General features: G+C 45.6%; 1 protein-coding gene across 2 annotated transcripts in view; it reads left to right on the top strand.

Annotated features, from left to right (window-relative positions):
• The window catches only part of NBPF14 (NBPF member 14), a 64,627-nt gene that overhangs the window by 1,010 nt on the left and 51,224 nt on the right, over positions 1 to 12,393 (top strand). For both annotated transcript variants that reach the window (NM_001395631.1, NM_015383.2), the window contains 10 exons: positions 1,302 to 1,404; positions 2,236 to 2,450; positions 3,498 to 3,570; positions 4,034 to 4,245; positions 5,609 to 5,818; positions 7,599 to 7,701; positions 8,533 to 8,747; positions 9,789 to 9,861; positions 10,326 to 10,531; positions 11,810 to 11,861. In NM_001395631.1, coding sequence (NP_001382560.1) covers positions 1,302 to 1,404; positions 2,236 to 2,450; positions 3,498 to 3,570; positions 4,034 to 4,245; positions 5,609 to 5,818; positions 7,599 to 7,701; positions 8,533 to 8,747; positions 9,789 to 9,861; positions 10,326 to 10,531; positions 11,810 to 11,861 — 1,462 coding nt within the window. The remainder of the gene's footprint in view (positions 1 to 1,301; positions 1,405 to 2,235; positions 2,451 to 3,497; positions 3,571 to 4,033; positions 4,246 to 5,608; positions 5,819 to 7,598; positions 7,702 to 8,532; positions 8,748 to 9,788; positions 9,862 to 10,325; positions 10,532 to 11,809; positions 11,862 to 12,393) is intronic.

Here is a 12,393-nt window from a genome sequence, read left to right as displayed (position 1 = left end):
AGTAGGGGCCGTGCAACGTGGCTCACTCCTATAATCTCAGCACTTTGGGAGGCTGAGGCGGGCAGAGCACGAGGTCAGCAGTTTGAGACTAGCCTGGGCAACATGGAGAAACCCCATCTCCACTAAAAATACAAAAAGTGGATGGGCATCCTGGCGGGCAACTGTAATCACCACTAATCGGGAGGCTGAGGCAGAAGAATCCTTTGAACCCAGCAGGCAGATGTTGCAGTGAGCCAAGATTGCACTATTGCACTCCAGCATGGGTGACGGGGCAAGACTCGTCAAAAAACAAACAAACAAAACGATAAATAAATCAAAAATAAAAATAAAAAGCAGAGAGTACCTTGGTGAGAGTGAAGTCCTGCTTCCTGGTGCACAGGCTCTTGTTCCTAAAGAGGAAAGATCACACCGGAGAATGTGTGGAAGCAGCAGTGCAGTGTGCAAAGCAGGGACCCTCAGCCTGTCTCCTGGGCTCCATCCAAGTTGCTTGTCTTGTCTGTCCCTCAGTTTCCTCATCTGTTCAGAGGGTACTACAATAATACCTACCTCTGTAAATTGCTGCAATGAATTACCTGAGGTATTTCCTGTCAATCTCCTTGAACATTAATTGGCACAGTGTAAACACTATCTATTAGTTCTTCATTCTGATGTTTCTAAATTAACACAAACTAATCTTATTCTGTTTCTAAATTAACACAACTAATCTAAATCTTAATGCTGCCTCTCATACTAATAAAGTATTTGGGCATATTTCCTTCATGGCCTTATTGTCTTATGTCTCACACTTTATGCTTCAGATATGATTCTTAAAACCATATCTGAATATTGATTTAAAAGTGAAATATTTTTAAAGTCCTTGACATATTTGTCCTTGAAATACCCAGTAAAAGGGAAGCCATCAGTCCCATAGTCCTAGGGGCCTTCCCGACTGTACAAGAAATCACTACTTCATGCCCCAGTGCAGTGTTTTAGAGGAGAGGCTGCAAGGCTTGGGAAAGTGGCCCCACATTCAGAGTCAGACCTCAGGGGCTGTGAGTTCTGACTCCACTTCGTTGTGGTTGAATCATCTTGTCAACTTCCTTGATGTGCCCTTGAGTTTCTCTTTCTTCGTCTTTAAATTTTGGAGGATCAGATGCCAGAAAGTCAGGAGACTGAAGAGTAAAGATGTGGAAATCCCTGTCTAGACCGTGGTACTGGGGAGAGTTTTGTCCTTGGGATGGACCTGGCTCCTGCCCTGTAGGCAGTGACCACAGCAGCATGTCCAGCCTTCCACTGAGGCAGGCGTGTCTGTCTTTTCTCAGAGTATGAAGAGTGTAAAGACCTCATAAAATTTATGCTGAGGAATGAGCGACAGTTCAAGGAGGAGAAGCTTGCAGAGCAGCTGAAGCAAGCTGAGGAGCTCAGGTGAGGGGACCCCGTAGGGGGAGGCAGGCGGGTAGGTGTGTAGATCTCTGAAGTACAGCAGCTCGGCGGGGAGAAGTAAGAACGAAGCTGGGCCAGGGGAAGGGCAGAAATTGCCATGGCAGGCTCATGACACAAAAATATTTATCAGAGAACAAGGATAATAATAAGTTCTCTGTTGCAGTTGTTTCTTAGAGCCTTGTTTTCTCTTTTTCAAACAAGTAATTGTTGAGGTGAAATTTACATAACACAAAATTCACCAAAGGAGTGGGAACCACCCAGCAGCATTCAGTATAATCAAAATGGTGTGCTATCGCCACCCCACTTACCCTTAGTGAGAATCACCTCCTGACTGACTGCGGCTTCTCATTCTTTCACTCAATCAATGTTGCCTCCTCGACCCTGTCCTTCTTTTCTTCTTTCATCTTTTCAATTCGCCCCATCTGCACCTGGCCTCATTTCTGTACGTGGCTTTGTATGTAGTGGCCGCAAGATGCACTATGTGTATTTTCACATGGAAATGTCCATGGCCAGAGTGAGGAACTGAAAGGATGTCTTTTTGAAACGGAATTAGGAAGACACCTACTTTTGTTTACAGAAGAGAAAGATGAATGGAACATCATCGAGGATCTTGCAGGAGCCCTCTCTGATAGAGGGAAAGCCTGTAGACCATTTTCTATTCTTTCTCTTGGCCACAGTCATTCCTTTCAACATGTGCTGACCTTCTGCTTGGAGGTCTCCTTGATGACATTGTCTCAGAAGTCTCTGTTGCAATATTTGAACGGATCACTCAACCCTTTCTACTCTTAAATTTTCTCTACCGTCTCACCTTAGGCAATATAAAGTCCTGGTTCACTCTCAGGAACGAGAGCTGACCCAGCTAAGGGAGAAGTTACGGGAAGGGAGAGATGCCTCCCGCTCATTGTATGAGCATCTCCAGGCCCTCCTCACTCCGTATGAGCCGGACAAGTCCCAGGGGCAGGACCTCCAAGAACAGCTGGCTGAGGGGTGTAGACTGGCACAGCACCTTGTCCAAAAGCTCAGCCCAGGTAAGGTGGCCATAGGCCCTGATGACCCAAAACCCCAGGCTTATGAGAGGCTCCAGACCTCCATACTTTCACAATGACAGTTGTATCAGTGGGGTTTTTTTCTACTACACCTATGTGGCCATGACATGATCAGGACTTCCTGGGTAAGAACAGAGATGGGAAACCCATGGGTTTGGAGGTCACAGTATTGCAAGTGTCCCTCCTTCCTTGATGGAAGGTGGTCTTTGGAGCAAGAGGCAGCATCTATCTAGTTTTAAAGGACAGGAAGGAGGCTGTGATGGAAGGGCGCTTGTTGGAGTGAAAAGAGCTCTGGGCTAAGAATGAAGGTTCCCAGGCTGTATTTTTGGCAATGTTCTTAGTAAGTGTCAGTGAGTGATTTATCTTTTCAGAGTTTCTCTCTCTCCATCTGCAAAGGCAGACAAATTGTCTCTTGCAAGGGTCTGAAGCATCCAAATATGGGAACACTTACGAATGCTTTTCAAAATGAGATGAAGCCCCTCTCCATGTGGTGTTGGAGAAGGCACTTGATGTGGGGGCATTTGGTGGTAGGAAGTGCTTCAGACTGGAGCACTCCCCATGGATAGAATGTCCCTGAATAACACAGCAGAAGCCACATGGAGGGCCTGTGCAATCTCATGACGCATAGAGGACTGTGGGACAAGTTTGTCCTCTCCTAAGAGAAAGAATGAGGTTTGAAATGCGAACTGTGACAGGACACCAAGCCTGTTCCTGGGAATCAGATCTGTGGCAGGATGGGGGAGACAGCTGCCAAAGTCCAGAGAGAGGCTGCACAAGCCTCCAGTGATATGGGAAGCAAAAGGTCTTTTCAGTATTTGGCCACATCTTGATGGTGGCCCTCCACATCAGAAATGCATTGCCCGATGGACCAGGAAACCATGCCAGGGCATTTTGTGAAAGATAAAACATGAGAGTTTTCAGTACAATGCTGAACCATACATAGATGTTCATGTCTCTGTGCACGTTGGGCTGACTGTGCTTGCAGAATGTGAAGTGGGAAATATCTGAACGAACATTTTGTATTTCTAGAAAATGACGAAGATGAGGATGAAGATGTTCAAGTTGAGGAGGCTGAGAAAGTACTGGAATCATCTGCCCCCAGGTAACACTGAATACTCAGGAGCAAGTAATGGGTGGTAACGTATGAAAATGTCTAGGAGGCACACCCTCTCTGGCATCTATGATGGGCCAAATGCCCGCATTCCCTTGGCCACAGTATGTGAAATTCAACCCAGCTTAGACACAGGGTGCGGCAGCTGTCGTGTTTCTCTATGTGTGCCAAGTGTCATGTCTGTACCATACAGGGATAGCTGAGTCTTCATCCTCCTCAGCTCCTATCTGTTCAGTGCACTGAACACCAGCTGCTCTCTTCCTCTCTGGCTCCCATGGCAGCCATGGTCTGTTGCAGAGAGAAGAGGATTGCCTGTTCCCTCTTTAAGGGAACCTCCGTTTTGCTTTCTGGAACCACTCTCTTAATGCCACCTGTCAAAACCAGCTAGGACTCCCTGGGGTCCAATCCCTCTGTGTTTAATCTTCTGTCATCTCTGTCCCACCTGGCTCATCAGGGAGGTGCAGAAGGCTGAAGAGAGCAAAGTCCCTGAGGACTCACTGGAGGAATGTGCCATCACTTGTTCAAATAGCCACGGCCCTTGTGACTCCAACCAGCCTCACAAGAACATCAAAATCACATTTGAGGAAGACGAAGTCAACTCAACTCTGGTTGTAGACAGAGAATCCTCTCATGATGAATGTCAGGATGCTCTAAACATTCTCCCAGGTAGCCTCTATTTTCCTTGTGTCTCATACCTCTGTCTAGGCTATGGAAGATCAATTCTGAGGACAGGCTGTATATACACATATTGTTATTGTTTTAGTCAGAAACTAGGATGGAGCTAGGTGCTGTGACTCACACATATAATCACAGCACTTTGGAAGGCCCAAGTGGGACGATGACTTGAGTTCAGGAGTTGAAGACCAGCCTACACAATATGGTGAAACCCATCTTTACAAAGAATACAAAAAATTAGGCAGGCATGGTGCTGCACGCCTATAGTCCCAACTGCTCAGGAGACTTAGGTGGGAGGATGGGCTGAGATGATCCTCCCACTCTCATTCACTTCTGTCAGGCTAGACTCTCTCTCCTTTTCATTGGCTTGTCTTAGCTATTAATAAGTCTCGGCTGGGAGCAGTGGGTCACACCTGTAATCCGAGCACTTTGGGAGGCCGAGGCGGGTGGATCATGAGGTCAGGAGATTGAGACCATCCTGGCTAACACGGTGAAACCCCATCTTTACTAAAAATACAAAAAAAAAAAAAAATAGCTGGGCGTGGTGGTGGGCGCCTGTAGTCCCAGCTACTCAGGAGGCTGAGGCAGGAGAATTGGCATGAACCCAGGAACCGGAGCTTGCAGTGAGCCGAGATTGTGCCACTGCACTCCAGCCTGGGAGACAGAGCGAGACTCCATCTCAAAAAAAAAAAAAAAAAAAAAAAAAAGTAAGTCTCTGACCAGGGGCGCTGGCTCACATCTTAATCCCAGCACTTTGGGAGGCTGAGGTGGGCGGAACACCTGAGCTCAGGAGTTCGAAACCAGCCTGTCCAAGATGGCGAAACCCCATCTCTACTAAGAATACAAAAATTAGCTGGCATGTTACTTGGCGCTTGTAATCCCAGATGCTTGGCAGGCTGAGGGATGAGAATCGCTTGAACCCGGACGGCAGAGGTGGCAGTGAGCTGAGATTGTGCCTCTGCACTGCAGCCTGCGTGACAGAGTGAGACTCCGTCTCAAACAAAAAACAAAAAACCAAAAAAGAAAAAAATTAAAAAAGCAAAATGAAATCTTTTGTGCTACACAGAAACATTGGCCACTCATGGGGTAAAAATCTCAGGGCCAAGCCTTGCTTTATAGAAACGTATAAGCAAGAAAAGTGTAGAAGTGTTTATGTCCTGGTTTCAAGGTGACTGCATAGCTAAGACAAGTTGACTTAAAGGAGATCAAGACTGGAGATGACAAGAGTGAAACCAGGGAAACATCATCTTCAAATAAGTAAACAAGGCTGCCAGTGACATCCCTCAGTCCTGATTAAGCCTATTTGATTTCACCAGTTTTTAACCCATCATGTGTTTGCCTTTCTTCTCCCCAGTCCCTGGCCCCACCTCTTCTGCCACAAACGTCAGCATGGTGGTATCAGCCGGCCCTTTGTCCAGCGAGAAGGCAGAGATGAACATTCTAGAAATCAATGAGAAATTGCGCCCCCAGCTGGCAGAGAAGAAACAGCAGTTCAGAAACCTCAAAGAGAAATGTTTTCTAACTCAACTGTCCGGCTTCCTGGCCAACCAACAGAAGAAATACAGTAAGATCTATAGGCTCACCATCATGAAAGTGATGAATGATATCCTGTCTTCTCTCTGAGACACTAAATGCTCTCTCCATCAAAAATAATTTCATCCTTCCTGTACTTCTAGGAAAACAGAAATGGGTATTTTAACATTTTGTCAAAGTTGGAAGACAGAGGTACCAAAGTATTTAGCAACTTTCCATGTTTGCAATCAGGTGGGGGTGGGACTAGAGTTAAACTGCCATTTATTGATTTCTGACACAGGCACAGAATGACCTGTTTTCTCCAAGAGGCTCAATCGTGTTTTCAAGAATCCTCTCTGTACCATATAAGATCCTGCAGACAAATAACATCTAGTCTGTTGTTCTAAATGTCTGAGACTAGTGAACTTTTATTCAGTTCAAGTTTCTGTTGAGGCCCAACAGGCAAAGCTCTGTTCTAGTGACTCTGAGGGAAACTTGGTGATAGTAGCCAGTACCTGCTCTGAGGGGCTTCAAGAGGAGTCTACTCCTAATAGAACCTGTGCTGTCTATAAGTGACAGCATCAAGAGCAGGGAGTAGGGGCCGTGCATGGTGGCTCACTCCTGTAATCCCAGCACTTTGGGAGGCTGAGGCGGGCAGATGATGAGGTCAGGAGTTTGAGACCAGCCTGGGCAACATGGAGAAACCCCATCTCCACTAAAAATACAAAAAGTAGATGGGCGTGGTGGCAGGTGACTGTAATCACCCCTGCTCAGGAGGCTGAGGCAGGAGAATCCTTTGAACCCAGGAGGCTGAGGTTGCAGTGAGCCAAGATTTTGCCATTGCACTCCAGCCTGGGCGACAGGGCAAGACTGTTAAAAATAATAATAATAATAATGATAAATAAAAATAAGAATAAAAAGCAGAGAGTAGCTTGGTGAGAGTGAAGTCCTGCTTCCTGGGGCACAGAGTCTTGTTGCTAAAGAGGAAGAAAGATCGCACCCGAGAATGTGTGGAGATAGCAGTGCAGTGTACAGAGCAGGGACCGTGGGCCTGTCTCCTGGGCTCCATCCAAGTTGCTTGTCTTGTCTGTCCCTCAGTTTCCTCACCTGTTCAGAGGGTACTACAATAATACCTACCTCTGTAAATTGCTGCAGTGAATTACATGAGCTATTTCTTGTCAATCTCCTAGAACATTTATTGGCACACAGTAAACACTATCTATTAGTTCTTCATTCTGCTGTTTCTAAATTAACACAAAATTTATTAGCATTTGGGCATATTTCCTTCATGGCCTTATGGTGTTATGTGTCACACTTTATGCTTCAGATATGATTCTTAAAATCATAACTGAAGATATGATTTAAAAATCAAAGATTTTAAAAATCTTTCGCATACTTGTCCTTGAAATTCCCAGTAAAAGGGAAACCATCAGTCCCATAGTCCTAGGGGCCTTCCCGACTGTACAAGAAATCACTACTTCATGCCCCAGTGCAGTGTTTTAGAGGAGAGGCTGCAAGGCTTGGGAAAGTGGCCCCGCATTCAGAGTCAGACCTCAGGGACTGTGAATTCTGACTCCACTTAGTTGTGGTTGAATCATCTTGTCAACTTCCTTGATGTGCCCTTGAGGTTCTCTTTCTTCATCTCTAAATTTTGGAGGATCAGATGCCAGAAAGTCAGGAGACTGAAGAGTAAAGATGTTGAAATCCCTGTCTAGACCCTGGTACTGGGGAGAGTTTTGTCCTTGGGATGGACCTGGCTCCTGTCCTGTAGGCAATGACCACAGCAGCATGTCCAGCCTTCCACTGAGGTAGGTGTGTCTGTCTTTTCTCAGAATATGAAGAGTGCAAAGACCTCATAAAATTTATGCTGAGGAATGAGCGACAGTTCAAGGAGGAGAAGCTTGCGGAGCAGCTGAAGCAAGCTGAGGAGCTCAGGTGAGGGGACCCCATGGGGGCAGGCAGGGGGGCAGGTGTGTAAATCTCTGAAGTACAGCAGCTCAGTGGGGAGACGTAAGAGCTCAGCTGGGCCAGGGGAAGGGCAGGAATTGCCATGGCAGGCTCGCTACACACAAATATTTATCAGAGAAGAAGGATAGTAAAAATGTATGGGTTGCAGTTGTTTCTCAGAGCCTTGTTTTCTCTTTTTCAAACAAGTAATTTTTGATGTGAAATTTACATAACACAAAATTAACCAAAGGAGTGTGAACCACACAGCAGCATTCAGTATACTCAAAATGGTGTGCCATCACCACCCCACTTACCCTTAGTGAGAATCACCTCCTGACTGACTGCGGCTTCTCATTCTTTCACTCAATCAATGTTGCCTCCTCGACCCTGTCATTCTTTTCTTCTTTCATCTTTTCAATTCGCCCCATCTGCACCTGGCCTCATTTCTGTACATGGCTTTGTATCTAGTGGCCGCAAGATGCACTATGTGTATTTTCACATGGAAATGTCCATGGCCAGAGTGAGGAACTGAAAGGATGTCTTTTTGAAATGGAATTAGGAAGACACCTACTTTTGTTTACAGAAGAGAAAGATGAATGGAACATCATCGAGGATCTTGCAAGAGCCCTCTCTGATACAGAGGAAGCCTGTAAACCATTTTCTATTCTTTCTCTTGGCCACAGACATTCCTTTCCACATGTGCTGACCTTCTGCTTCGAGGTCTCCTTGAGGACATTGTCTCAGAAATCTCTGTTGCAATATTTGAGCGGATCACTCAACCCTTTCCACTCTTAAATTTTCTCTACCGTCTCACCTTAGGCAATATAAAGTCCTGGTTCACGCTCAGGAACGAGAGCTGACCCAGTTAAGGGAGAAGTTGCGGGAAGGGAGAGATGCCTCCCGCTCATTGAATGAGCATCTCCAGGCCCTCCTCACTCCGGATGAGCCGGACAAGTCCCAGGGGCAGGACCTCCAAGAACAGCTGGCTGAGGGGTGTAGACTGGCACAGCACCTTGTCCAAAAGCTCAGCCCAGGTAAGGTGGCCATAGGCCCTGATGACCCAAAATCCCAGGCTTATGAGAGACTCCAGACCTCCATACTTTCACAATGACAGTTGTATCAATGGTGTTTTTTTCCACTAAGCTTATGTGGCCATGACATGACCAGGACTTCTTGGGTAAGAACGGAGATGGGAAACCCATGGGGTTGGAGGTCACAGTATTGCAAGTGTCCCTCCTCCCTTGATGGAAGGTGGTCTTTGGAGCAAGAGGCAGCATCTGTCTAGTTTTAAAGGACAGGAAGGAGGCTGCGATGGGAGCAGGCTTGTTAGAGTGAAAAGAGCTCAGGACTAAGAATGAAGGTTCCCAGGCTGTCTTTTCGGCAATGTTCTTAGTAACTGTCAGAGAGTGAATGACTTGTCCTTCCTGAGTTTCTCTCTCTCCGTGGCAGACAAATTGTCTCTTGCAAGGGTCTGAAGCATTCAAATGTGGGAACACTTACAACTGCTTTCCAAAATGAGATGAAGGCCCTTGCCGTGTGATGTTGGAGAAGGCACTTTATGTGGGGGCGTTTTGTGGTAGGAAGTGCTTCAGACTGGAGCACTCCCCATGGATAGAATGTCCCTGAAGAATACAGCAGAAGCCACTTGGAGGCTTGAAATCTTCTGATGCATAGAGGACTGTGGGACAAGTTTGTCTGCTTCTAAGAGAAAGAATGAGGTTTGAAATGCAAACCGTGACAGGACACCAAGCCTGTGCCTGGGAATCAGATCTGGCAGGATGGGGGAGACAGCTGCCAACGTCCAGAGAGAGGCTGCACAAGCCTCCAGTGATATGGGAAGCAAAAGGTCTTTTCAATATTTGGCCACATGTTGATGGTGGCCCTCCAGATCAGAAATGCATTGCCTGATGGATCAGGAAACCATGGCAGGGCATTCTGTTAAAGATAAAACATGAGAGTTTTCAGTTGAACGGTGACCCATGCCTAGATGTTCATGTCTCTGTTGCACATTGGGCTGACTGTGCTTGCAGACTGTGAAGTGGGAAATACCTGAACGAACACTTCTGTATTTACAGAAAATGACAACGATGACGATGAAGATGTTCAAGTTGAGGTGGCTGAGAAAGTGCAGAAATCGTCTGCCCCCAGGTAACACTGAATACTCAGGAACAATTAATGGATGGTAACATATGAGGAATATCTAGGAGGCACACCCTCTCTGGCATCTATGATGGGCCAAAAACCCGCATTCGCTTGGCCACAGTATGTGAAATATAATCCAGCTTAGACACAGGGTGCGGTAGCTGTCATGTTTCTCTGTGTGTGCTGAGTGTCATGTCTGCACCGTACAGGGATAGCTGAGTCTTCATCCTCCTCAGCTCCTATCTGTCCAGTGCAATGAACAGCAGCTGCTCTCTTCCTCTCTGGTTCCCATGGCAGCCATGCTCTGTTGCAGAGAGAACAGGATTGCATGTTCCCTCTTAATGGGAACCTCCATTTTGCTTTCTGGGACCACTCTCTTAATGCCGCCTGTCAAAACCAGCTAGGACTCCCTGGGGTCCAATCCCTCTGTGTTTAATCTTCTGTCATCTCTGTCCCACCTGGCTCATCAGGGAGATGCAGAAGGCTGAAGAAAAGGAAGTCCCTGAGGACTCACTGGAGGAATGTGCCATCACTTATTCAAATAGCCATGGCTCTTATGACTCCAACCAGCCACATAGGAAAACCAAAATCACATTTGAGGAAGACAAAGTCGACTCAACTCTCATTGGCTCATCCTCTCATGTTGAATGGGAGGATGCTGTACACATTATTCCAGGTAGCCTCTGTTTTCCTTGTGTCTCATACCTCTCTCTAGGCTGAGAAAGATAAACTCTGAAGACAGGCTCTATAAACACAAATTCATTTGAATAAAAAACTGTGATGGGTTTCTAAACAGATATCAGGGAGTTTGTTTGTCCTTCTCAGCTAATGTCATGACTTTGTCTGCCAGTCCCCAGTATCAAGTTACTCAACCCCAGGCAAGTGTGACAATCTCATAGTCACCTGAGTGCAGGAGGTGCACAGGCAGTATCTGTCAGGCCTCCTAGCTTCGATTCAGTATCTCTTGTCATCTGTGATTAAGTCATCTGTCCCTGAACAATGTCCATGGAGTTTCTATGCCTGTTTAAGGAAGCTGGCAGCCTTGCCTTTGTATTTGGAAATATCGTTCCCCAGGCTTCACTGCTCTCAGCTTTCATCTGGATCTCCTTTAAGTCAGCTTGCTTAGCTGCACAGTCACCCTGAAATCAGGACGGAAACTTTTCTTCTTTACTTTGCTGATATATTTCCATAAAGCAAGGCTGGACCCTGGTTCTCCACCCTGTCAATGCAATGGCTGATCCAATGTTTCTTTGTAGCATCGTGGATTTTTTTTTTTTTGCAATGGAGTCTTGCTCTGTCACCCAGGCTGGAGTGCAGTGGCACCATCTTGGCTTGGTGCAACCTCTGCCTCCCAGATTCAAGTGATTCTCCTGCCTCAGCCTCCTGAGTTGCTGGGACCACAGGTGCACAACATCACATCTGGCTAATTTTTGTATTTTTAGTAGAGACAGGGTTTCCCCATATTGGCCAGGGTAGTCCTGAACTCATGACCTCAAATGATTCACCTGTCTTGGCCTCCCAAATCACAGATTCTTTTTAAAGCAAGAGTTGTTCAAATTTATCTATCAGTCGTGTTTCATGTATAGATGCCTCTAAACATTTAATGTCCATGTTACCTGGTGATATAAGTCCGTATCGCAGCAACACTCTTAGAAAATTGTTTGACCAATTTTTGGAGATTTTTTTGGGGAAAAAATTTTGTTTAACTTTGACTCAGGCAGGGAATATGGCATTATGGTCTACACGTAGAGGGAGATTTTGGCCTGTGGGTCTGGAAAGCAGGGTCATCTAATTCTCACCAAAGTTAATCTAGGACACCCTAGAATATTCCTGTCAGAATCCTTATTCTTGCACTGAGAATAGTTATGTCCTTGTGCTATGACTGGACAGTGATTTGTTCATATGTGAAGTATGAATTGCTTAATGTGACCTGCTTCTCTGAATTTATTTACAGAAAATGAAAGTGATGATGAGGAAGAGGAAGAAAAAGGGCCAGTGTCTCCCAGGTAATGTTGTGGAATTGTTGGCTGTTAATTCAGTAGTGACATCTGGAGATTGTAGATTTAGGGAAAATGAGGAAGTGATGAATAGAACTATTTCTTCCATTCACCCAGCTACAAATTGTGCTGATTTACAATGTTGTATGTTATTTGTGGCACTTGTATTGGTTTTAATTTCATAGTCCTCTCAAGATAGGAACTTGCCATCAGATGAGCCAGGTGAACTAGCCAAACAGGGTTTTCTTGTTGATCTTTTCAAAAAACCAGCCCTGGATTCATTGATTTTTTGAAGGGTTTTTTGTGTCTCTATCTCCTTTAGTTCTGCTCTGATCTTAGTTACTTCTTGTCTTCTGCTAGCTTTTGAATTTGTTTGCTTTGCTTCTCTAGTTATTTTAATTGTGATGTTAGGGTGTCAATTTTAGATCTTTTCTGCTTTCTCTTGTGGGCATTTAGTGCTATAATTTTCCCTCTACACATTGCTTTAAATGTGTCCCAGAGATTCTGGTATGTTGTGTCTTTGTTCTCATTGGTTTCAAAG

The sequence above is a fragment of the Homo sapiens genome, chromosome 1 (assembly GCF_000001405.40).
Source record: "Homo sapiens chromosome 1, GRCh38.p14 Primary Assembly".
Classification (NCBI taxonomy): Eukaryota; Metazoa; Chordata; class Mammalia; order Primates; family Hominidae; genus Homo; species Homo sapiens.
This window is presented reverse-complemented; position numbering and strand designations above follow the sequence as displayed.